The sequence below is a fragment of the Homo sapiens genome, chromosome 2 (genome assembly GCF_000001405.40).
Source record: "Homo sapiens chromosome 2, GRCh38.p14 Primary Assembly".
In the NCBI taxonomy this organism is placed as follows: domain Eukaryota; kingdom Metazoa; phylum Chordata; class Mammalia; order Primates; family Hominidae; genus Homo; species Homo sapiens.
Genome location: NC_000002.12, coordinates 213017387 through 213044770, shown reverse-complemented (window position 1 = coordinate 213044770; position 27384 = coordinate 213017387). Strand labels below are relative to the sequence as shown.

Below are 27384 nucleotides of genomic sequence, written 5' to 3'. Positions count from 1 at the left end.
AGTGGATAAGGGACCCTTTTAAAGCTGACATAAACTTTCTTGTATTTTGCCTGTATTCTGACTTGAGTATTCCAGGCACTCAGTTTGTCTTCCACCTTTGTGTGCTCCTTAGGGCCATCAGCCATATCATGCTGTAATCTTTATACACTACCATTGCTGCTTTAGCAAGTAATGCCATGGCTCCCAAAGCCTTACCCTGCGTCGTACATCCTTCCATGCTACCACCAGTGACAATTTGAATAATCATCTTGCCAGCACATGCCTTGGATCACTACTGTCCCATTAACTCTGTGATAAGGAGGCTATCCTGCTATCCTTGAATTCCATTTTGACTGGAGCTTTGGGCCATTTCTGATATCAGTAACTCTTTATCAGTCAGGATCCTGACAAGAAAACAGTAAGACACTCAAGTGGGGAAAATTTGGGGACATGCATGAAAGACAAATATTCACAAAAGAATGGTTAGGAATAAGGGTAGTCTACAAAAAGATGGCTGGGTTTACAGTAGTAGGAAGCCATTTACTAGCTCTAGCCTGAAAGAGAAAGGGGATCTAGAGGTCACTGGAATTAAGAGAAATAGGAAAGGGTCTTGAGCACTGACCTTCGGTAGAAGAATGTAGCCTTTGCTAACCTGTGACTTGGGGAATAAACACCCTGACCTCACTCTTTCCACCCTTCAGTCTCTTACTGGTGCCTCACATTGACTAAACTTAACCAGAAGCCAGAGGACAACGGAGCCAATTGATTAAAGCCAATAAAAATTAGCTTTTGCGGGAGCAGAGCAAAGAAGTGTGGAAAATGGCTATGGCAGCCAAACAGAGAATGTGCCACAGATTAACTAAAATTTAAGAACTAGTGCTTAAAATTACTAGTATAGAGCAGGGGTCCTCAACCTCCTGGCTGCAGACCAGTACCAGTCACTGGGTGGCCTCTTACAAATTGAGCCGCATAGCAGGAGGTGAGCAGCAGTGAGCAAGCATTACTGCCTGAGCTCCTCTTCCTGTCAGATCAGTGACAGCATTAGATTCTCATAGGCACGCACCCTATTGTGAACTGCGCATGCAAGGGACCTACTTGGTGTGCTCCTTATGAGAATCTAATGCCTGATGATCTGAGGTGGAATAGTTTCATTCTGAAATCATTCCCCCACCACCTGTCATTTGTGGAAAAACTGTCTTCCATGAAACTGGTCCCTGGTGGTGAAAAGGTTGGGAACTGCTGATATAGAGTATTAAGGGGAATATAATGATTTTAAATTTAATCTCTGTTTTTATGAATATTATTATTGGTAGAAAGTATTAGCCTCCCTTTTTCCTCCAGGTAATAACTGTCCATTGTTTTATTGTATTGTTATTTATCATGTTGGATATTAATACCACATTTCTGCTTCCTATATTGTAGACTTAAAAATTTCTCATCTTGATTTTCATTTAGTAGGTTGGTAACAACAAGCCCAGCACAGATGTGCATGAATACATTACTGTGATAGATGTTACAGTTTAAGAAATGAAAAATACTTTGAAAAATATCTGGAATACAATATGTATTAAGTAAATACTAGGGGTGTGTGTGTGTGTGTGTGTGTGTATTTCATTTACCTTGCATGATCCCTGTACAAGGTGGTATTTTTCTGCTTAGGAACTCTTCTTGTCCTCTAGAGGACACCAAGTAGTGTCTTGGTTTTTATTGCATAGGCCTGGTAGTTAGGTTATTTATCTGGAATTTCTTGAGCTTTCCCTAGACAGTAGACACTGTACTAAGCATTTTCCATGGTTTCTTTAATAAAAAACCTTTTTATCTAACATAAGCAAAAAGAGATTGTAGATTAATAGCAATAAGTCTAGTAACATGGAAAATGCAGTTTTGAAAAGTTTTTACTTTAAAAAATATAAATGTAATATATATTTTGTTATTTATTTTTTTATTTAAGGCCAAGCTCTTTTCTTTCAGTGAGAAATTTGGTTGTTGAATAGCATGTAATTTTTCTGGTCTAAACCATACCCATAACACATTATCTTTAGTTACATTTTCAGTGTCTTTAAGAACTTAAAGATCCTGTGAAGCAGTCAGACTTCTATTCATTTTTAAAGATTTTTTCACTAATTTTTATGATTATTTTTGCCCACATTCACTTCTTTAGAAATATTTTTATCAGCTTATCTTTATTGAATCTTTTCAAAGTGGTAAAATTTGGTTTCATAGAAACAGTATTCTTTTTGTAATTATTTCGTTGGAAATAATTATAGCAGGTAAACTGGCATAAATAGGTTTTGCTACAGTCATACCTGACTCTTAGTGACTACACATACAGCTCAACTGCTAGAAGTATACTCGGACGTACCAAAGAAGAACGTATGAGCTCCAAGAATTCAGTGTTTTTGGTTATCCATTAGTATGTTTTACAAAGAGAATGGAGAGGCAGGTTCATTATGAGAACCTCTCACTTTGGTTATTCCTATTGTACACTGAGGCAGAAAAGAAGTCACACAGGCAGACCCTGGATTTAAACTAAGGCAGCAAACTCCACAATTTGTGCTCATCACACCCTGCTAAGTGATAAATGACACAGCTCGTATGTTTATTCTATAAAGCTTTAACTCTACTGAAGTAACTCCTAATGATTGAAAAAAAAAATGTGCTGTCTAGAAGTCAGGAGATCAAGGCATGTGGGTTTTAGGGTGGCCTTGCTGCAAATTAGCTATGGGACGTTGTCAAGTCACTTAATTTACTCTTTAAATCTCCTGGTGCTGCTATTATATGATGCGAACTACAATGTGTTATCTTTTCTCCCTGGATTTTGCTAATCAGTCACTACTACCACACCTTAAAGAGTAGTCTCCACTCCCTCCAAATTACTTCTTTTTGTTTGTTTGTTTGTTTGTTTTAGTATTTTGCCCTAGTTTATTTTAAAATAAGTTTTCATGAAACCGAATTAACATCTTAAGGTTTATATTGAGTCTTCACAGTGCCAATATTTCTTGTCTACTAATGTCTGATATCCTACATCTGATAGCCTTGAAGTGTCTAAGAAAGAAAAAAATAATAACTTTTTTTATGTGAAATGTAAATGACATTTTAAGAAGGGGAAGGAGAAGAGGGAAAGGGGAGACAAATAAATAATTGAAATGTTTTATGAACAAAGATCAGCTAAAGATTACAGTCAAGTTGTGGCCGGGCACGGTGGCTCACACCTGTAATCCTAACACTTTGGGAGGCCGAGGTGGGCGGATCATGAGGTCAGGAGATCGAGACCATTCTGGTTAACATGGTGAAACCGTGTTTCTACTAAAAATACAAAAAATTATCTGGGCGTGATAGCACACGCCTGTAGTCCCAGCTACTCGGGAGGCTGAGGCAGGAGGATTGCTTGATCCCGGGAGGCGGACACCAGCCTGGGTGACAGAGCGAAACTCCATCCTCCCACCCCCCCCAAAAAAAGATTACAGTCAAGTTATTAGCCCACTGAGAAAGTGAACTGCACTTTTAAAAACATGTCCCAGAGATACATTACATAAAGTTATAGGAAAATAAAAGGTATTAGTCTATACTTGAAACTCTTGCTATTCAGTAATCTTGAGATTTACTATACAAATCATCTACTTTGCTTCATGTGAACTTTTAACATAGTATTTAAGTGACTTTTTTTTTTTTCTGAGACAGGGTCTCACTCTGTGGCCCAGGCTGGAGTGCAGTGGCGTGATCTCGGCTCACTGCAACCTCCGCCTCCTGGGTTTAAGTGGTTCCCCCGCCTCAGCCTCCCAAGTAGCTGGAATTACAGGCGTGCACCACCACGCCCAACTAATTTTTGTATTTTTAGTAGAGACGGGGTTTCACCGTGTTGGCCAGGCTGGTCTTGAACTCCTGACCTCAGGTGATTCGCCTGCCTCAGCCTCCCAAAGTGCTGGGATTACAGGCGTGAGCCACTGCGCCCACCCTTAAGTGACTATTTAATGATGAATCAATGCTTCTGCTACAAAAATGATTTTTATTAGTTTTGTCTCAGATTTTTCAGTTTTATAGGTGATTATAGTTCTTTCATTCTTATAAATTTGATTACTATATTTTGTACATTATATATATTACACCTTTTACTTTCTTTATTATACCTAATACTCTGAGGGGATAGTGTTTAAATTAAGCCCTGGACCCCTATTAGTCAAAATAATATTTAGCATACTTGTTATTTTAAAAATTCTAGGAGGAAATAGAATTACATGTTTTTTCTAATTAGCATTTCAGGTATATTTTGTATATACTCTTATGCTGTACCCAAATTAAAGGTTTAAAACAGAAGAGTGTATAATTTTAATATATGAGAAACATATATGTGTGTTAAACATTTCTTTTTATAAATTATAAAGAGAAAAATGATGAGTAAGAATGTGTCTCCATAGAGGGGAACAACACATACTGGGGCCTATTGGAGAGTAGAGGGTGGGACGAAGGAGAGAATCAGGAGAAAATAACTAATGGTGCTAGCCTTAATACCTGGATGACAAAATAATTTATACCAAAAAAAAAAAAAAACCCATGACACAAGTTTACCTATATAACAAACCTGCACATGTACCTCTGAACTTAAAATAAAAGTTAAAAAAACAGAATGCATCTCATAGAGTCTCAAAATATTTTTCTACCAGATGAAAAATTCAATTTTGGCTAAGAATTATACTGGTTCAGATTACTATGAAAATTATGTATTGCTCAAAAACGGAATCATCCAAATACATTTGAAAATTAAAAATCTTAATTTCCCAAAGACATTTATTCATTGTCTCTTATAAATCTAAAAAAGCCAAATACTTATTAAGAGAACCATATATTTAAGATACTTGTTCTAAAACTAAGTTATTTTTCAAAGATTTATAAGTAAAATGTCCTTAAGTAAGAAAATAAGTAAAGGAATTGTTTTCTAATATTTTTGTTCATCCTCATTTTAAGAAAATAATTATTTCATATTTTCAATAATGCTATTAAATTCTAAGTAAAACCTCAGCTTTCAATTGAACCAGCATTGAGCATATGATATAATTATTTATTTGTGTATATCACTTAAAAATAACTACTTTGTAAAATTAGTTATCTGTATCACATAACTTTGGAGTAAGAGAGATTTGAGGAACCTTACAATGTCAAAGTTCTTTTGACTTAGGGTTGATATGCCTAAACTATTCTGAACATGTATCTATCTTACTTCCAAACACTTTAGGAATGTTGATTTTTACAACACTACTTTGTGACCTACTCAGTGTTTGACAATTTTCAGCTTATGAAGTTTGTTGTTTATGTCTAATTGTCAGTTTAAAGCTATTCTGTTCCATAAAAAGGAACTGGACCAGATGTACCATATAAATCCCCATCTGTTAAAACAACAACTTCCTCCCAACTAAAAAACATTTTTAGTATATATATATATATGGACTATCTTTATTTTTCAAGTCCCTATAGTTCCAAGGACTATATTTTATCCACAAAAATAGCTCAGAAATATTGAATGCTTATACTAGTTCCTAATATTGACTTTTAAAAATCCCAATTAAATAGCCTAGTTTATATTTTGTTCAGTTATGCCTTCACCTATTATGAGAAAATTCCTGTAAAGTATTATGACTCATCCTATGTTTAAATATATTTCCACATTTATCTTTAATAGAATTTCAAACTAACATGCATTTTTAAGGTATATGCTACATGCCCTCAGAGAAACTGGTAAGACAAGATGGTCTTCTTCATATCTTCAAATTTCTTAAAAATAAAAAAAAAAAATTACCATGTGGCTTGGATCAAGATGGAGCTCATCTTTGACCATATTGTTTAAAGAAACAACATAATGTTAGTTGCTCTAGTTTTAAATCTCATAGAAATAGTCTCTTAATTTGTCATGAGAGTAGTGTACCCTCAAACGCATTGTTGTCTCTTACTAAGGAATTTATTATCACAATCACATCGTTTCTTTAAATTGACAACTGATCAGTGATTTCATAAGCTAAAGTATTTTCTAATGTACTGTAGCATTTGTCATCACTTACTCTCTTTTATAATACACCAGTTTCTATTTTGTTTTATTTAAATTATCTTCCCTTCTTCTTTTGAGTGTTGTGGTCTGCTCTTTCTTGTCTTTCTTATAATTCTTTTTCCCTCAATCCTTCATCCATTTGCTTCCATATTACTTCACTTTTTTTTTTTGTAATGACTTCCAGAAAAAAAGTACATAAATAACTTCTTCAGTGTATGTATCATGCAAAATGTTTTGTATAAGATGGGATAGCTGCAAGTTATACACCTTTGGATATTAATAGTAGTGATAGTTTTGTGGAATGATTGAGGACAAAAATTTCTGAAAATTAGGTACTTGGCCAGAAGATTATGATAATCGGTTGTTTTCCTATTTACATTATTTTAAAACCAGACCAGCTGGACACGGTGGCTCACGCCTGTAGTCTCAGCACTTTGGGAGGCCGAGACGGGCAGATCACGAGGCCAGGAGATCGAGACCATCCTGGCTAACACGGTGAAACCCCGTCTCTACTCAAAATACAAAAAAATTAGCTGGGCGTGGTGGCAGGCCCCTGTAGTTCCAGCTACGGGAGGCTGAGGCAGGAGAACGGCGTGCATCTGGGAGGCGGAGCTTGTAGTGAACAGAGATCCTGCCACTGCACTCCAGCCTGGGTGACAGAGTGAGACTCTGTCTCAAAAAAGAAAAGAAAAGAAAAGAAAACAAAACAAAACAGACCACCATGACTTTTTTTTTTTTTTTAAGGATAGAAACATTGAATTAAATTATGCTGGTTTAGAAATTGAATCCAGTGCAGCTCATTCATAATAGTGATGGTGCATTAAATGTAGTATAATTTGTCTTGCAGGCTTCTCATGAGAAGGAACTATTTTAAACTGATTGTAGACCTGGCACCTGGCCCACTTTCTGGGTGATCTCCCAAGTGTGAACTTTCCCTACCCTTAGCCCCTCCTTTCCTTCCTGGAGGTGGCTGATAGAGGTGGATTATACTGATAATTACACAAGCAGTGTCAGTTGCACACATGATTTGCATAACTGTGCTGTGCTGATTTCATCCATCAAATTCTGATACTGATGCCTTTGGTGCCTCACTGTATGCTTTGCAATAAACACTGAAGAAAGGAGATGGGATTAATATTTTCATTCTTGACTCTTAAAACACACACTTGAGGTCCTACTCATTGAAATTTACCTAGAAGGTAAAAGCCACTTTCAGTCAGGCCGGCTGTAAGACAGCCCATTTGATTTCCACCAGGTAGAACGCCTCTTTCCCCCTACCCCAGACCAATAACCATTATGTATCTACTCTTCGTTATTGTTTCTAATAAAAGAAAGTAAAACTTTTAATAGCATATACAATCACATCTTTTATGAATTGTAGTAGTCATGCTTCTTTCAGACCCTATTTCTAGAAGGAATTAATAAGCCTTTCTTTTATAATTCTATGCAGCTCTTTTCACTTTGGTGCAAGTCATTTAGAAGATCAATTTATTGTAGGAAGCTTTCCTTCCTCCTTTATTATCAGGAGTTCTAAAGAAATGGACAAGATTCTTAGCTGCTTTCTCATTGTTCTGAATAATCTACACTGTCCTCATTCCAAAGCTTGCTACCACAGTTTTGTACCCTGCATGGATTTAGTGTGGACAGTCTTAACTTTGGCCATTTCACATTTTCCCTTCCACACCATGAGTCTGCAGGCCTGGCATGTTTGGAACTCCACAACAGAAGTGGAGAGGCTGCACGCAAACTTTATTACTCACCTAGTATCCAGAAGGGCATGACACACTGGGACTTGTGTGTGTGTGTGTGTGGTGTGTTTTGTTTGGATGTTTTTTTCTAACCTAACCTTTACCATTTCTTTCAATTTTTCCTACTTGATCTGTGTATGTGAGTCAAAGAAACCTGTTCATCCACAGCCTATACTATCTTGCCAAATACTGTAAGAAAACTCTCAAATGGTAGAAAATCAGACAAATAAGAAAGATAAAAACCAAGTATCATTCATCATAAGCATGTAAAATATATTTAGAATATAATTAAAGTTTTATGTAAGGTATCAGAAATCTATCAGAGTGGAGTCCTTTTAAATTGTATAGAAATATGATGATAATGATTATAAGCAACTGGATAAGAATAAAAGGTCCTAGATCCAGCATCTCAAAGAAGAGATTTTGCATCTTCATCCCTTATATACCATATTGATTGAATGAATTAATGGACAGATTATTTTATTTGAATATTCTTATATTAACTAGAAAGGTTTTAAAGATTCATGGAGGTCAATGGTGGTTGAGTATGTTTCCTAGTACATGATAAGTATTAGTCTATTACAAAAATTAAAAATTATGGGTATATTTAATAAGTTCTTATTTTGTGACAAGCATTATGTTAAGGGCCTTATTTTGCAGATAAGTAGAGTCAAGTTTAAAGAAAGAGATGTTACCTAATGTCCTCACGCAGTCATTTTACATATTACATGTATGCCTCCTCAGCTTATACAGATTATACTTTCACCTTATTTTTCTTTTATTTTCCATGGTTTGGCAACAATGTATTATTGGATTAGATTTCAAACACACACATACACACCCACAGCACAATAAAACAAGAATTGTATCATGCTCTTATAAACAAAAATCTATCATGAGGCTTGAAGACATATAGCAGCTTAGAACAAAATAAATCTAACAATAGTATAAATTATATTTGTGAGAGTACTTTAAAAATTATGATCTGATATAGCAAAAAAAATCATACCTTGATAACTATATGTTTACATTTTATCCAACTTCCAATATACTCATGAAAGCTGAGATATAAGCTCTGGTCTGTCTGAATCTAGGGTCTCTGCTCTCAGCCACTATACTCCTGCTTCCCAATCTATTCTCCAGATAGCAACCAGAATGTTACTTTAAAATCTGATTTAAACCATGTCACTCCTCTTCTTAAAATATTTTAATGGTTTTCCATTGCTTTTATAATAAAATCAAACTACTAATCATGGCCATTGGTGGTTCTGCCCACTTCTACTGTCTGATCTTCTACTACTTTACGCCTCACTCTGGGTTCTTTGCAACCCGAGGTTTCTTTATTCTTTCCTACTGTTTTTGAACTAATGGATGATCCTAGAAGTCAACACCTTCAGCGTTTTCCCAAGATCTTGGCATAGTTGCCTTATTATCTTTCAGATGTTAGTTTAAATGTCATCTCTTTGAAAATAGTGGCATCCATAAGCAACCTACCAGAAGCATCCCCTTAGTTCTATTTTGCTATCTCTATCTTAATAAAAAGCTTGAATCAGAATCTGTGGTTATGTTGGTGTTTAGTTTATACACATGTTGTCTGTGCCATCCCACCTCACTCGAATGTAAGCTCTGTGAGATTGTGGACTGCAAGACTGTCTTTGTGGAGCTTACATTTTAATAAGGGGAGACGGGCAAGAATCAGTTAAAAAATCATATAATATGTTAGAAGATGTTGACTGCTACAGGGAAAAAAAAAGATTTTCCACTTATTGATCATTTATTGTGTGTTAAGTACCTTGAGTTTTCCATATGGATTAAAAAAAATATATACTCACAGAAATGCTGTGAGTTAGGTACAACTATTTCCTAATTTAACGTAACCTAGGCTTCACACACAACTGGCATTAGGGTTAGAATTTGAGATCCAAGTAAGAAACCACATTCTGGATATACAAATACATATTCTTTATATGAATATTCCATAAGTTAGAGCAAGCTATTTGCTTCTGAATTGATTATTTTGGGAGCTGTTTGCTATCCAAATTATTTGCTTACTCATAAGCCTGAGTTCTTGTAATATAGAAAGTCAGATGAAAGGAAATACAAGCATAACTTCCTTTATTGTGCCTTACTTTATTGCACTTCACAGATAACTGCGTTTTTTACAAATTGAAAGTTTGTGGTAACCCTAATTCCAAGCAAGTCGGTTGATACCATTTTTCCAATGACACATGCTCACCTCATGTCTCTCTGTCACATTTAAATAATTCTTGCAATATTTCACATTTGCTCATTATTATGTCTGTTTTGTGATCTGTGATCTTTCTTGTTATTATTATAACTGTTTTAGGATACCACGAACCACACCTATACAGGCTGGCAAACTTGAATTTTTGTGTTGATAAATGTTGTGTAAGCTCTGACTGCTTCACCAACTGGCCAGTTTCTCTGTCCCTCTGTCCCTCACCTGGCCTCTATATTCCTGAAATGCAAAAATACTGAAATTAGGCCACTTAATAACTGTACAATGGCCTCTAAGTGTTCAAGTTAAAGGAAGACTCACATTTCTCACTTTAAATCAAAAGCTAGAAATGATGAGGCTTAGTGAGGAAGGTATGTCAACAGGCAAAACATGCCAAAAGATAGGCCTCCTGTGCCAAACAGCCACATTGTGAATGCAAAGGAAATGTTATTGAAGAAAATTTAAAATGCTACTCCAGTGAACACACAAGTGATAAGAAAGCAAAACTGCCTTACTTCTGATTATGGAGAAAGTTTCAGTGGTCTGGATAGAAGATCAAACCAGCCACAACATTCTCTTAAATCAAAGCCTAATCCTGAGGAAGACCCTAACAATATTCAATTTTCTGAAGGCCACGAGATGTGAGGAAACTGCAGAAGAAAAGTTGGAAGCTAGCAGAGGTTGGTTCATGAGGTTTAAGGAAAGAAGCCATCTCTATAACATAAAAGTGCAAGGTGAGGCAGCAAGTGCTGATGTAGAGGCTACAGTAATTCATCCAGAAGAACTAGCTAAGCTAATTAATGAAGGTGGTTGTGATAAATGGCAGAGTTTCAGTGTAGACAAAACAGCCTTCTATTAGAAGAAGAGGCCATCTAGAGAGGAGAAGTCAGTGCCTGGGTTAAAAGCTTCAAAGGACAGGCTGACTCTCTTGGTAGGACAATGCAGCTGGTGACTTAAAGTTGTAGCCAATGCTCATTGACCATTCCAAAAATTCTAAGGTCCTTAAGAATTATGCTATATCTACTCTGCCTGTGCTCTATAAATGGAACAGCAAAGTCTGGGTGACAGCACATTTGTTTACAATATGGTTTAGTGAATAAGCCTATTGTTTAGACACTGCTCAGAAACAAAAATTCCTTTCAAAATATTACAGTTCATTGACAATGTACCTTGTCACCCAAAACTTCTGATGGAGATGTACAAGCAGATTAATGTTGTTTTCATGGCTGTTAATACAGCATATATTCTTCAGCCCACGCTCAAGGGTTAATTTAAACTTTCAAGTCTTATTACTTAAGACATACATTTTATAAGGCTAGAGGTGCCATAGACAGTGATTTCTATGATGGATGTGGGCAAAGTAAACTGAAAACCTTCTGGAAAGGATTCAGAATTCTAGATGTCATTGAGAACATTTGTGATTCATCTGAGAAGGTCAAGATATTAACAGGAGTTGGGAAAAAGTTGATTTCAACCTCATGGATGACTTTCAGGAGGTTCAGGACTTCAGTGGATAAAGGAACTGCAGATGTGATAGAAACAGCAACATAACTAGAGTTAGAAGTGGAGCCTGAAGATGTGACTGAATTACTGCAGTCTCGTTATAAAATGTGAATGGATGAAGAGTTGCTTCTTACAATGGGCAAAGAAAGTGGTTTCTTGAGATCGAATCTTCTAGTGTAGATCCTGTGAATATTGTTGAAATGACAACAGAGGATTTGGAATATTACATAAACTTAGTTGACAAAGCAGTAGCAGAGTTTGAGAGAGTTGAATCCAATTTTGAAAGAAATTCTACTCTGGGTAAAATCGTATCAAATAGCATCACATGCTACAGAGAAGTCCTTTGTGAAAGGAAGTGTTGACTGATGTGGCAAACTTCATTGTTGCCTTATGTTAAGGAATTGCCACATCCATCCCAGCCTTCAACAACCACCAGCCTTATCAATCAGTAGCCATCGACATCAAGGCAACACCCTCCTCCACCAGTGGAAAGATGATGAGTCTGAAGGCTCAGATTATCTTTACAGTGTATGTGTATGTATGTGCAGTGCAGTGGTGCAATCACAACTGACTGTAGCCTTGACTGTCTGGGCTCAAGTGATCCTCCCACCTCAGCCTCTCAGCCTCCCGAGTAACTGGGACCACTGGTGCATGCTACCACACCCTGGCTAATTTTGCTAGTTTTGTATTGTTTATAGAGATGAGATTTCATCATGTTGCCCAGGCTGGTCTAGAACTCCTGGGCTTTAGTGATCCTCCTGCCTCCACTTCCCAAAGTGCTTGTATTACAGGTGTGAGCCACTGCACCTGGCCTCTTTAGCATTTTTTAGCAGCAAAGTATTTTTAAAATTAAGGTATATACATTGTTTTTATACACAATTCTGTTGCACACTTAATAGATTATGGTATGATATAAACATAACTTCTATCTGAGTGACCCACTTTATCAGGATATATTCTTTATTGTGATGGGGTGGAACTCAACCTGCAATATCTCCAAGATATGCCAGTGGTTTGATTAATTGAAATCTCATTAAAAGGAAGAGTCTATATAATTTGGATTATTCATTTAATCTGTATGCCTAGTAAATTCTTACTAGCCTTTCTGTTTACTTTTTATTCCCCATAATGAATATTTTGCACATTTGTAATAATGAAACAGTATCAAATATATCTGCTGTTTCCCTTGTGTCTTAGATTTTACTGTACCATCTCCTGGCCACATTAAAACTTTTTGCACCTTTATACTTTCTCTAGCTCTTTTTCCTAAATTCATCAACCAATCTGTTAAATGACTTATGTTACACTTACAGTGAAAGAAGTGAGCATCCCTAGGGGTTAAATGGTTTTTGAATATAATGTTTATTATTATGATTATATATGCCACATTTTAGGCAGCTGGTAAATACATGTTGTATGAATAAACAATTGATATGTATATATTTTTAACAGAAGTGTAAAAATTTAGAGAGATTAAGCATCTACTTCCATTTATTGTTTAATTATTTTATTAGCAATGTTCAAAATAAGCAATAAAATATTTTATGTGGTAAGGAAATGCTGGGGAAGCATAACTGTTACACTGCCAAAATATGTTACAATGTATATTTTGCTTCGTCCCATTTTGCTTCCTTATTTTAGGTGTTAAGTTCAAGAAATCTGAGGAAATGTGTTAACTTAAAGTGATAGAAAAGTAGATGCCAACAACTTAGACTCTTATAAAAATAATCTTACATAAGACATTTTCTTGTTTGAATTGTGACTATTTTTCTTCCAGAGTGCCCAAAACAATAAAAAGCAGTTTTCTTTTGCTTTCAAATGTCTGTGATTTTACTTTAAAGGTCCCATACATACTTTTTTATATACAATTTTTCCTGGTGTTTGTGTCCTGTATAAGATTTTCAGTTTACTTTGAACATTGTTATTACATTATAAAACAAATGGCAATATTTGGATGGTTAATAATGTTAGCTCTGTGGATGCAGGAATGACATTTGTCTCGTTCAGTGCTGTATCTACAGCACCTAGAACGTGGACATGGAATACTGGAGGTGCTCAAGAAATTTATGTTAAAGGAACTAGATGTCTTTGCTCAACACCTGGCACATCCTGTTAAAGAAGAGTAAACAGTATTAACACAGCCTGGCGCAGTGGCACACGCCTGTAATCCCAGCACTTTGGGAGGCTGAGGCGGGCGGATCACTTGAGGTCAGGAGTTCAAGACCAGCCTGGCCAACGTGGTGAAACCCCGTCTCTACTAAAAATACAAAAATTAGCCAGACGTGGTGGCACGTGCCTGTAGTCCCAGCTACTCAGGAGGCTGAGGCTGGAGAATCATTTGAACCCAGGAGGTGGAGGTTGCAGTGATCCGAGGTGGCACCAGTGCACTCCTGCCCTCCAGTCTGGGCGACAGAGCGAGACTCCATCTCACCAAACAAAAAAAAAAAAAAAAGAAAAATAGTACTAATGCTGGCTTTTTTTTTGCCTCTTTTATTGTCATAATGCAGTGTTCTTCACAGTATGTTCACAAAAAAATATTTACTTGCGAAATTAATAGTTGCTAAAATAAAAAATTGTACTATATTTAGTTTTTTTGGAAAACGTTGGGTTAAATAAGTTTTGTCTGTTTGCTTTTTTGTTATTGAAGCTAAACATCCAAAAGAACCTCTGATAATGCTCATATACATTGTAAATCTCTAAGAAATCTGCATTAAATATACTGTCTCACAGACTTGTTTAAACATTTAACATTCATCCCCCCACCCTCAACTACTTTAGTAAACTGTCCTTAGAGAGATAAAAGTTATTTTACTGTAATGATTTTTGACAGACACCTAATTATCCTGAAATGATTTCATATAAAGAGATTCTCTTTGAAAGATATCTCACTTTTCAGGTAGAGATCTGTTTCCTTTCTAAAATATTCTTTTCCCACTTAATCATTTCATTAAAAAAATAAACCTAGAGTCATTAAGACTTCTAAAGATTTAGAAAAAAAAAGTAGGTGTGGATATTTCTAAAAAATTCCATATCAGGCAGAATTTTAAAACTTAAAACAGTAAAGAAATCACAACGTGGGAAACTACCAACAATTTTGACCACAAGAAAATGTAAAACCTCTAAACCTCAAAAAAAGCATAAGTCAAATAGGTAAGTCAAGAAATAAGTCAAAGGCGTTAATATATACAGAGATCAATTTCTGATCAATTTATTCAGAAAGACAAAAGCAGTAAGACCATAATTTAAAAATAGGTGAAGGCATGAAATAGATCATTTGAAAGGACAGCAAACAAATGTCTAATGATTTTTTTGTTTAATATTTCGTTTCACTAATGCAAGTGTAAAAGAAATACAAATTACATTTTATTACCTAGCTCAGTGTTTCCCAAACTTTCTTGGTTCATTGTGACTGTAGTGTCTTAATAATTTTGTCAAAGTTCATTTAGGGCTAAAAGTAATACTGAAAAGTTTCATTTTATTAAGTAGTAAGGTCCAAACAACTTAATAATGATTTGTGCCCTAACAACTTTTTATCCATTTGGGAAAATTATAATATATAAATTGAAACCCAAAACAGGGTTTTGTTTTGTTTTTTCATCTTAGATGGCCACAGTTACTTACTAATGGGATGGTATGCCTTGTTGGGCATACCATTAGTAAGTGAAATCGAAGACTGATTATATGAGAAGATCAATAAAATAGATAAACCTCTAGCAAGATCAATCAATATTAAAAGAACACATAATTTGGCATCATCTAGAATAAAAACCGGAAATCACTAAAAATCCTGTAGCCATTGGAGGCATAATATGGGGATATTTTGAACAACTTTATGTCAAATTCAGCTAGATGAAATAAAAAATAGAAATTATTGACTCTCATTCAGGAAGAAATATACACTCTGAATAGCCCACATTTATTCCAGGAATTGAAATTGAAGTTAAAAACCTTCCCACAAAGAAAACTCCAGATGACTTCACTGGTAAATTCTGTCAAATATTTAAGGAAAATGTAATTTAAGAAAAACACTAAAGGAACAAATTCCTCCAGACAATAGAAAAGGGAGGAGGGAGGCCTCCAAACAAATTATTATATTCAGCATTACTCTGACACCAAAATCAAAGACATTACAAGAAAAAAATACTGCATAACGGTATTCTTCATGATGCAGATGCAAAAGTCCTTAAAATTTTAACACATTGAATCTGGAATATATAAAAAGGATAATATATCATGACCAAGTGGGATTTATCTTAGGAATTTAAAGTTGGTTTAACATTGGGTGAAAAAACATCACAATGTAATTTTCCATATTAACAGACTAAAAAAGAAAAGATTTTAGTCTGTCTTTAAAGTTTCAGAAAAAGTATTTGACATAATTCAGCTTTCACATATTATAAAAATTCTCTGCAACTGAGTAGAAAAGAACTTCCTCATCATGATGGTTATCATTTGATGAGTGTAATAAGAAAATATGGACACTTAGGTTGATGCCATATCTTGGCTATTGTGAAATGATGTAATAAACATGGTAATGCAAATATTTCTTTGACATACTGAGATTAAATCAAATGTATTTCTATATGCTAGGAATGAACAGTTGGACATTGGAATTTAGAAAGCAATGCCATTGATTATAACATCCCAAAATGTATGAAATACTTAGAGTTAAATTAAGTAATATGTGTAAGAACTGTGTACGTAAAATCATAACACATTGCTGAGATAAATTAAAGACTTCAATAAATGCAGAGATGAGACATTATCATGATTTAAAAGATTCAGTATTGTTAAGATGTTGGTTTCTCCTGAAATCGAGTCTGTCAGTTCAGGGCAATTTCAGTCAAAATCCCAACAAGCTTTTTAACAGAAATTGGCAAACTGATTACAAACTTTGTTTGGAAATGTAGACCTAAAATAGCCAAAATAATTTTGAAAAGCCAAATTTGGATGACTTGCACTGCCTGATTCCAAATCTATTCCTAAGACTTGCTCTGTTGGTTTAAGTATAGACATAGAGGTTAATGGAATGGAATAGAGTCCAGAAATAGAACCCAAATTGGTCAGTTGATTTTCAACAAAGGTACTGAGATAATTTAAGGGGGGAAAGGATAATATTTTCTATAAATGGGTCTAGAACAACTGAATACCCATATTTTTGAAAAAAATGGTCTAAGACTCTTATGCCATATATAAAAATTAAGTTGAAATAGCCATAGACTTTTGACAACTATAGTAATTATGTGAATCGATGTTAAACACATATTTATTTGTTTTATCTGTATATATGTAAATATTCTGCAATATGTGAACTAGTATATACTTATTATATATAGTACAGACACATATTTCTTGAGAGGTAAGGGACAAACATCCAAATTAGAGACTTTAGACCAGAGACATACGCTCATATTTCAGAATTTCAGAACATCAAGGACAAACTGAAGTTACTAAGAGCTTTCAGACAAACAGGCCACATATAAAGCTATATTTATATAATACTTTTAAAAAGAAACTTTGGAGGTTAGTAGCCCAGTGAAAAAAAGGCTTCAAAATGTTAAGAGAAAATGAGTTTCAACCTGGAAATTCTAAACCCAACGAAGAGGAAAACATGGGATTCAGGCAGCAGAAGACTAATCATGAGGGGGACAAAGGAAAGTTCTGGATAACAACTCTGTAATAAACCCAGGGTACCATCAGTTCCAACTGGAGAAAGGGGTGCCAATGGTTGTGAGAAGGCAAGAGGAAAGTGAGACTGGCAAGGACCTATGACATTGTTCTGGACTCTGAGTTATCAGTAAGGTGTGAGAACCTCAGAGGAAGGGGTAAGTGGCACTGGATACAGAAACACAAGCAAAATAAAAAGTGAGACGATTATTAACTCTAGGAAAAATTAAAAGCTGCACAAAAAAGGAAATGTAATCACTGTTGAGCCAAATAGTATGTTATGATTAATATTTCTATGACTACTGGAAATTTCCATTTCTATACTATTAATCAGAAATGATTATGTAACTATTGAAAGACCACAGAAGTGAGAATTGAGAGGGTGTTTGTAAGAGAGCTGAATCCTTAACTACCAGGACAGAGAAGCAATAGATTATCTCTAAACCTGATGAATAAAAATAACCCACATATTATTTAGAAATATGAATATAATCACCAAAAGAAGGAGCTGAAAATGGTTGCTTTTTGGGATTTTGATTAGATTGCTTGGGGGCAGGTAGGGCAGCATGGGGAAGAGACTATGTATTTCATTAAATGCCACTTGGGACTATTTGATTTTTTTTATGGGCATATCTAACTATGGTAAAAAGAAAAATAATCATTAACGTAATAAAAGAAAAGGACTCAGAATGCTGAGCAAACTGAATAATTCAGCATTACCATAAATCTAGAATCTGGGAGAAAGTGTTACCTAACAGCAGCAACAAAAATATCATTTCATAATAATGGGGAAATGTTCAAAATATATTGTTCAGTAAAATAAGCAGGTTATAAAATAACAGTGTATAAAATAACTCATTTTCATACCAAAATTTATCTTTGCATGCATTAAAAAAATGCAAGAGGATAATACAGAAATACCAAAGACAGTTATTTCTAAATGATATAATTATGGATTTTACTGGTGATTAAAAAAATTTTATATGAATATTTTACATTTGAAATTAGAAAGAGATTTAAGAAAAACTAATGAGAAAAAGCTATTTAAAGAGTTTGGAAATTATATCATTCATAAAAACTCCACTTATTAGTTCTTTCTATGAGCAAAGCACCCTGCTAAACTCTTCGGAAGTTACAAAGACACATAAGATATTGTTATAATTTCTCAAAAAGGTCAAGATCTAACATGGAGATGAAAATTAGTGTGTAAATACCAGTATAAAAGTCACAGATAATATAAGATAGAATGATAGAGTGTTGGAAGTGTTCTAAGCATGAGGGTCAATACAGGAATAGTTCTTTAGTGAGAAAGATCACGTTAAAATGGAACAGAGTTAAGGAGGTTGGAAGTGGAGGGATGTGGAGGATTTCAAGAGGTAGAAATCATGTGAGGCAATTACAGCAACAAACAAAACTCAGAAGTGTAGGTGTAAAGTAATTTTGACTGGGGCCTGGGGTAGGAGTGGGATGTGTGCTTTGGGACCAGATGGTATAGGGTGCTGAATGCCAGGTAAAGGGATTTCAACTTAGTTCAATAAAACTTAACAGTTATTGAAAGTTGTTGGAGAGAGGAATAAAATAATTACACACGGGAAGAGAAAGCCTATTTGAAGTCTATTATGCCAGGCCCAGGTGAGCAATAATGAAGGCCTGAACTAGGACGTTGATTGTGAGAATGAAAAGAAGGGATCAACTTGAGAATCATTTTACGAGTCCAGTATATAGAATTTAGCAGCTATTTGGAAGTAGGAAAAGAGGTAGAAGGTAACAGAAGTGGGTGCATTGTTGTGAATCTTGAGTATTAGAACAGTGGTAACACTAGCAAAGAAGGGCAGTCAGAACAAAGAGGGAGTTTTGTGGAGGAAGATAGTTTTGGGTATCTTGAATGTTTGATTTGGTTTTGGGGGAATATCCATGAGGCAAGACTCAAAAGGCAGTTGCAAGTATGGATTTGAAGTAGTCATTCAGCAAATATATATTGTCTCCTGTGTTTAATAACTCGATATGTATTATCAATTTAAAATTGAGTAAAACAAGATCTCTCTCCTCATGAAGCTCATCGTTTGGACTAGGGAAATAAATAGGTATCCGATGGTTAATTACAACACAGTTGTTATAAGTAATGCATCAACAGAGTACGAACAGAGTTCTGTGAGAGCAGAGGAGACAGCTATGTCCTGATGCTCTTCGTTTTGGTTGTAGGGAAGGGATTCACTCAGACATTGAAAGATGTACATGGCCAGTTGGAGCTTACAAACATGGGAAATTATTCTTGACCTGATGTGGATGTTTCATAAAAATGAGCACTTCATTTAGAGAGCAAAGAGGGAGAACATTGTACTGAGAACAATATCTGAAGGGATGCATATAACATATTTGCAAGTTAGGAAAAAACTGAGAAGCAGTGAGGGCGAATGTAGGATCTGATCTCAGACGCTAAAACAGGAGACCCAAGACACAAGAAAGCTTGATAGTGGCCAAGAGATTAGGAAGACAGAGGATTAATAAAAGCCTATGGATTTAGTGATTCAGAGACCACTGACTTTTCAAAAATGTTTCAATAATAGCAGAAAAAGTCCGCTTCAGTTGGTAACAATATGAAGTAATAATAATAATAACTATTATAAAAATAAAGGTAGTGAAATATTGGTCCTTTTATATGAATATATATGTTATATGTATTAATTATGTATTACTTTAAAGATAAACTCATGTACAGATAAACACATGTATAGGGAGTAAGTATAAACAATATTTTTATGAACTTTATTTTTAAGAAATAGTATGAAATGGATAGAAAATGGTCTTGTGGAGATAGCAGAGCCATTGAATTTGCAGGGATTGTTGGCAATGTCTGAAAACAATTTTCAAAGGAGTAGTAAGGGCAGAATGTAGACTTTGAAGGAGCTAAGTATATAGAGGAAAATAAATGACTACAGGTCTCAGAAATCCTGAAATCCTGCCTTTCCACCCTCACTCCCCAATTATATAATGACTACTTTTTCTTCAGTTGTCACCTGAAATGTTCCTACTTCAAACAGACCTTCTTGTTCAACCTTTTCAAACTAGTTTCCCCATGTTATACTACACCACCATTCTTTTGCTCCATGCAACTGCCCACAATTTGTAATACATTGCTTGTGTATTTTTTAAATGTCTGTCTGCCTCACCAGACTGTCAGTTGCATACGGATAGGCACCATGGGAATTTGTTTTCCACTTTACATTTTAGCCTCATGAGCATTGGTACATAGTAGTCTGTTATTGAATGAATGAGAGAGGTAAAAGGATAGATTGTCTCCAGAGCAAATTTATTGGAAATAGAATAGTTTTAAGAAATGTCCAAATCCAACATGTCACCTAATAATTGGGTTGCTGGAATAGAATGGAGATGAAGAGTTGGGAAAATTAGGGTTATACATTTAGAACAAAGCCCAACTCAGATCCCTGTTGGACTCAATGATGGGATGAAGAGGAAGGAGTGATGCTTTAAAATAGAGGACAAAATGGGAGAAGCTGAAATAAAGCAGATGGGATAGTAATGAGAGTAGTAAAAAGTGAGTAGAAAACATAAAAACTACATGTCTCTTCCTTCTTATCAGGTGAGTTGGGACTTTTAGAGGGTTGTGAGCCAAGGGGAATAGAATGAAAAACCATGTTTCAATTAAATTGAGAAGGTATAATGATTGCTTACAGAAATAAGGGGAAGAAAGTATAGGAGAATATGCTCATAGTACAACAGAGGCATCATAATGTGATGGGACTAATACCAGGGAAGACCCGGAAATGACTGAAGTAGTTTACAGCGGGCTATTAGCTTCAATGTAAGTGCTTAATAAGTATTAATTGGTTAATAAACTTGTTCAGTATAAATTCATTACTATTTCTAGAGAAATATTACAGAAGAACCCAAAACTGAGTAATGCTAATAGTAAACAGATACTTTTTGTTATGTAGTCCCATATCTTGGAACATAATTACATGTAAATTTATTTATAGTATTTACACTAGATGATTTCAGCAAAACTTATTTTTTGTATTTTTAATGCTGTCACATGGTGATACAAGTTCTGCACAGTATTCTCAGCTACTTCCCAGAAATCCATGGTTCCAAAAAATAGAAGCTGGTTTGCCAAGCATTTTTAAAAAAATGAATAATCACTCCATAAATAACTTTTATGATAGTTTACAAACAATTATGATTATGAAATAACTGATCTTAATTTATGTGTACCTCAATTACAATCTAAAGGTTTGGTGTAGCTTTCTTTTTCATCAGTACAGTGAAACTTTCAGGCAGCCATGAATACCTTGCCTTGTTATAGTATTTCAGTTCCTCTTGTGACCAGTGTCATAGCATGGGTTTATAAGTTAACTGGAGTTAGGGATGCTATCTTTGGTCATGAAAAAGAGTTGTCTGTTATTCTCTGAGCAAAACTAAATAATTCCTCTGGGAGTCAAATAGAGACACGGGCCTGGATCACACGGTGCTTTACTATTGAGGGCTTTGGCACAGACCACCTGGGGTTTTATGTTGTTCTGTATTCATTCAAAACCAAGAGTCAAAGTGCTCTGTGATGTCCTTATGAAGAGTCATGCATTAAAACATGCTTCTTTCCATAGAGATTATATTTTTCTTCTTTGTTTTTTAAGGTTTTTTTTAACTGAACATCTTAGTATTTTAACAGATGTATTGAGATAATGACACTGAGATAATGGCTCCCTAGCTATTAGGGAATAATTCATTTCCTTAATGTGAGATGTTTTGGAAAATATTACTGTCATTTTGTAACTACATATTGTGTAATAATCCTGACTCAAAGCACCTAGTAGGTTAATTCTTGGTATTATAAAAGCTGATGAGGGAGAATATACTTACCTGCCACAAAATTTTGCATGTGTGAATAGTTGTTACCAAGGTGAAAGGAAAGGAAACTCTACTTTCATCTGTACTTTTTCTCACCACTTGAGTTCTTTTTAATCTTCTTGGTACCCAAGAATAATCTCTTTATTAAACTGTGACATTTCAAGTTGTTGCATTTTAAGTTTTCTTCTGTAAAATTCTCTGCCCTTACCCGAAAAGAAAACAAACAAAAAAAAACCACAACTCTTGATGTATCTAGGATACTCCTGATTTGTCTTGAATGAGTCAAAGCTGAGAGTCAGTGTATTAAGAGTGAGATAATTTGAAGACTGATCACCAGGCCCTCAAGGTCTAGAATACAGTCAGAGCAAGAATTTGATTCAGTATTTCCCCTGTTGCCAGAGGTACGATCCACCTGTCTTCTTGTCTTTGTCTTGGTAGAAATGTATTATCTTTTCTTACCAAAATTGGAATGTAAAGGAGGAAGAGATTTAAGTCTGAAAATTATATGAGTGCTTCCTCCAGACTATCAAAAGTTAGCTATTGATTTTGCTTTGAATGTTGATGAGACTAACAGCACACTGACCTTGAGTTCTCTTCACAGTGGGTAAACCTCACAAGTGCAACTACTGTGGACGAAGCTACAAGCAGCGCAGTTCACTGGAGGAGCACAAGGAACGCTGCCACAACTATCTCCAGAATGTCAGCATGGAGGCTGCTGGGCAGGTCATGAGTCACCATGGTGGGTAGAAACTGGATTCATCATTTTTATTTCCCCCTACTGCTTTTGTAGTTCAACATGAAGATAAAATCTTATGCTGTTTAAAACTATTTTAGATCACTTTAACTTAAATGAGTTGAGCTTTGGGATACATTGCAAATAATCTGTATTGAAATTTTGCAATACTCCCAAATTATTTCTGATAATGTTTGAATTAGCATAATAATGACAACCAACCTTTCATATACCAAAGGAAGGTACTATTTACTCTTCTTTTTCATTTTTCTAACCAGATAGTTAGAGCTGATTCCACATTAGTCTGTAGGCTGCCTAAAAGAATGAATTGGTTATTTGAATATTTTCATCTCAGGTAAGTGATCAGTCATATAATTTGAAATTTCTCCAATCGGCCCTTTAATTTTTATGAGAAATTACTGATTTTGCTTTCTACAATGTGCAAAACAATCTAGACCAACATTAGACACCATCTCTCTCCACAAAAAACATTCTCCAAGCAAAACATCCTGATCTCTAAATACACTACGGCAGGTAGGAAGGCAATCCCTAAGGTTTATCAATGAATAATTCTCTGTTCCTGAAAAGTTAATTTTAATAATCAGCCTTATATAGGAAAATAATGAATTTCAGTTCTTAAGATTTGTAATGTCTATCTTGTCTTACTAATTAGATTTGTCTACTGATAAGTTTTATTTATACAAAGACAAAAATCTCAACTTATTAGTACATGTATATCTTTTATTTATTTTTTTAAATTATTTTTTATTTTATTTTATTTTTTTTGAGATGGACTCTCACTTTGCCACCCAGGCTGGAGTGCAGTGGCACGATCTCAGCTCACCACAACCTCTGCCTCCCCGGTTCAAGCGATTCTCCTGCTTCAGCCTGCCAAGTAACTGGGATTACAGGCATGTACCACCAGGCCTGGCTAGTTTTTGTATTTTTAGTAGAGACGGGGTTTCGCCATGTTGGCCAGGCTGGTCTCAAACTCCTGACCTCAGGTGAGCTGCCCGCCTTGCCTTCCCAAAGTTCTGGGATTACAGGTGTGAACCATTGCACCTGGCCACTTGTATATCTTTTATTTAAAAAAGGTTTGCCCAGTATTAAATGGTATAGTTGGGGATTGCGACAGTCACTTTTAAAATATAAATATCTATGTATTGGCTTATACATAGCCAGGTCAAGGATTATTTCTGGGGTTTTCTGTTTGTTTTATAGAGTATATACTATGGAACTGTGTTTGTTGGACAGCTAGTGATTATGTGTTGTTGAGTTGGGAATTTTTTTAATTTAAAATTTTCTTGTTATCCTGAACAACTGAAGCATTTCCTTCTAGTTTCTATAATCTAAAGAATCTAATTCTATTGATTTGTGATCAAGTCCATTTATTTTTATATTATCATCATTAACATTTTTTACAAACCTATCTGTGTATCAAGTCTTGGTAAATTTGATATTTCAAGCTTGCATTACCTGGGCTGATGATGATAGCATAGGATCTGGAACATAGAGATTACAAAATGGTGCGTCTCGGAGTCTGCCAAACCTGCTCTGGCTACTTCGTGTCTGGGTGTGTCACTCATAGGCTGGGTTTGAGGATTAAATGTGACTGGATATGTAATAAATGCCCAATAAATGGTTTGCTTTACTGTTAACATTTGAGAACATTAAATAACTGAATAACAGTAAATGTGCTATTCCCTATAAATTTGTTATTTACCAGCAGTAACTTAAGCATTAGAAGTTTCATTTGCTGACCAAATACACTGTTACTATTTAAATTGATGGATTTAAGGGTAAATTGAGGCTGGAAGCTGATGGAAGCTTGGGGGAATACCAAATCTTCCCCAAAACACCTTATGGCATTGCTACTAGTTTTTCTATATTATATTCTCCCATTGCAGTTCTGACATTTGATGGCGTTATGCATTTCCAACTTTATTTATTATTTTTGCATTCCTAGTTATTTATGGAATTCTGTATTGCATACATACTCCTAAAAGACTATATGGTAATAGGGAGGTAAAATGTAAATAAATTATTATAATCAACATTGAATTATCTGTTGGCAGATTGAACTTTTAGAGAATCAAATGCTAACGAAAAATTTAAACAAGTATATTTTGAGAGAAGCAAAGATATGTCCCCTAAACAACTGGGGCCTCAGTCTTACCCCCTATTCCCCAGATTGCTTAGCCCTCCGTAGGCACAGGCCCTTTACAGGTGGTGCTGAAGCTGGAACCAAGTGGGGGAAAGTGGGAAAGGGGTAGGGGCACTGGGTAGGTAGAGCAGAGGGTAAAACCAAAGAGGAGAAGGGATTGAGGGTAGCTTCTGATACCATTTATAGAAACAAATATTCTTAAATACTGGATATCATTTTAACCACATAAGTTTACATTCATGCCATTTCATACCATACTTTTTCTGGGTTTGTTATAACAATAATTTGAGATTATCCTTAATCTCCTCTATCTGTTGTTAACATGCCTAATGGGAAATTGGCCATACGAGGTAGGAGTTGATAAATACTGTAAGAGAAAAACATGGTTCTGTAAAATGCTGCTAGAGTTCATCATTAACATACGTCTCATATAAATAGCTTGGCATATGTCTCTTTTTAAACAGAACCATGATGAAACTTATATCTATTCCCTTCTCTTGCTGTATGTTATTTATTTGTTTTCCTTTTTTGTGGTAGATATGAGAGTTGCTGTCATTTTGGTTGCCATTAGCTCCATGAAATGATTTAACTATTACTTGTTTTTAAAAAATATCTGACATAGTTATATTTCCTAGTCTTTCTTTTCTAAAACATGTTTTTCCCTGTGTTGTTCTTCTAGTATGGAATTTTTTAAAGGAAAAGAGGCATTTTCACTTTACTCAGAAAACATTTATCAAGAGCTTACTATGTGCCAAGTTATATAGAACATTCTGGGGTATAAAAATAAATGGACCCAGTCTTTTAATACACTTACTTTATAGTCTGGTAGGAAATACATACTTTAAAAAAATAAAATAAAATGAAACAAAAGCTCTAATAAGGATGCATACACAGTTCTCTGGGAACATAGATGTAGAATTAACCTAACTCTGGAAAAGTCAAGAGAGGCTTCTTACATGCAGGAGTGTTCAATCCAAACATGAGGGATGAGTAAAAATTGCATATATCAGGCAGGATACAGAGAATGTATATTCAAGGAGAAAAAGAGGCTTGGAGATATAAAAGATAATTAACAGCTTCCCTGATGTTGAGTGTAACTGCAGTTTAAGGAGTGGTAGGAAATGAAGCTTCTGAATTAGTAGGTTGTGATGCAAAGACAGAGTCTTCTCTGCTAAGCTAGTGTTTGAATTTCATTGTGTAACTGATGGGGGGCCACTAGGGTAACCAAATTTGTTATTAATGAGGTAATCAAATCAAGAAAAATGTCTCCAATGAGGATACATGATAAATGCCTACCTGGGGCAGGGGGTATGGTGTGAGGAGAGACTGGAAATGACAATGCCAAAAAGAAAAAGATGAAGAGGCAACTGCAGAAGAGAACAAGGTGAAATATTGAAGACATATTTAGGAGGTAGAATAAAATGGTCTTAGAAAAGTTGATTGAGTTTGAGGAAAAAGGAGGAATATCATGACTCATAGTTTTGGAAATAATAATTGAGTTTTATGACAGATTATTTATATAATTAAATTATTTAATTGGGTTTGATGAGCTTATTTATTTTATTGGGTTTTAGGGCAGATTATTTATCTTATTTAATTAGGTTTTATGGCAGATTATCTTGTTCAATATTATCTTTATGTTGCTTTTTCAAGTCTGCTTAGCTTGAAGGAAAAGCTTTAAAATCAAACTATGTTATTACCTGTTTTACCTAAACCTAAAGACAAAAATGAAAGTGCAAAGCAGAAGGATAGCCAGCTTAAAATCTATATATATTGTTAGGTTTATGCTTTGAATTGTTTAGGAAAGGGAGGTTCTTTTTCACAGTATAGAGGCATTATTGGGCACCCCCAAACTTTGGAATAAGCTTTTTTGACTTATTTCTATTGGGTGACATCATTCAGTGAACATCCATTGAATATTATATCTCTCTTGTATCATAAAAGGTATTAGAGACACAAATACAACAGAATGCAACCCCTGAGGTTATTTACCAGCTATTGGAAGATAGACCAGTAAAACAACAATTATAGTACTATGTGATAAGCATTATGGAGACAGAGAGGACATACCTAAATCAGCAGAACATCCAAGAGGAATTTCCCGGGATTGAGCTTAGTTTTAAAAAGCAAAAATGTGAACTAATAAATGGAGAAGGGTGTTTCCTGCAGAAAGAACAACATATGTGAACAACTACCAATGTAGCATCTAAAACACTTGGGGTACCTCCATGTGTGTTTGTAAAGAGATGTGGTAGGGAGGAGGAGAGGCAGAAGACTGGATGAAAGGAAGAAATCTAGGATTTTCCACAGGTGACCAGCATGGCTGATGGAGTAAATAGTAGTGTCATTCAGTGATATGGTAATTAGTAGTGTCATTCAGTGATATGGTAATTAGGAAAATAGAAGAAAGAAAGGTAAATGGAGATTTTACTTCTTTTACTATATTCT

At 35.1% G+C, this 27384-nt stretch overlaps 1 protein-coding gene across 30 annotated transcripts in view, besides 2 other annotated features; it reads left to right on the top strand.

Annotated features, from left to right (window-relative positions):
* IKZF2 (IKAROS family zinc finger 2) overlaps positions 1–27384 on the top strand; it is a 152759-nt gene that overhangs the window by 107686 nt on the left and 17689 nt on the right. For all 30 annotated transcript variants that reach the window (NM_001371277.1, XM_047443727.1, XM_047443725.1 and 27 more), the window contains one exon: positions 22641–22778. In NM_001371277.1, coding sequence (NP_001358206.1) covers positions 22641–22778 — 138 coding nt within the window. The remainder of the gene's footprint in view (positions 1–22640; positions 22779–27384) is intronic.
* Positions 6619–6888: an enhancer, noted in NCBI's record as "active region_17059". NCBI's record gives its function as "activates an Ori minimal core promoter by ATAC-STARR-seq in GM12878 lymphoblastoid cells {active_cell/tissue: GM12878}" and the evidence as "EXISTENCE:reporter gene assay evidence [ECO:0000049][PMID:35858748]".
* Positions 11879–12079: a silencer, noted in NCBI's record as "peak4035 fragment used in MPRA reporter construct". NCBI's record gives its function as "represses an SCP1 promoter by STARR-seq MPRAs in K562 erythroleukemia cells {active_cell/tissue: K562}" and the evidence as "EXISTENCE:reporter gene assay evidence [ECO:0000049][PMID:32103011]".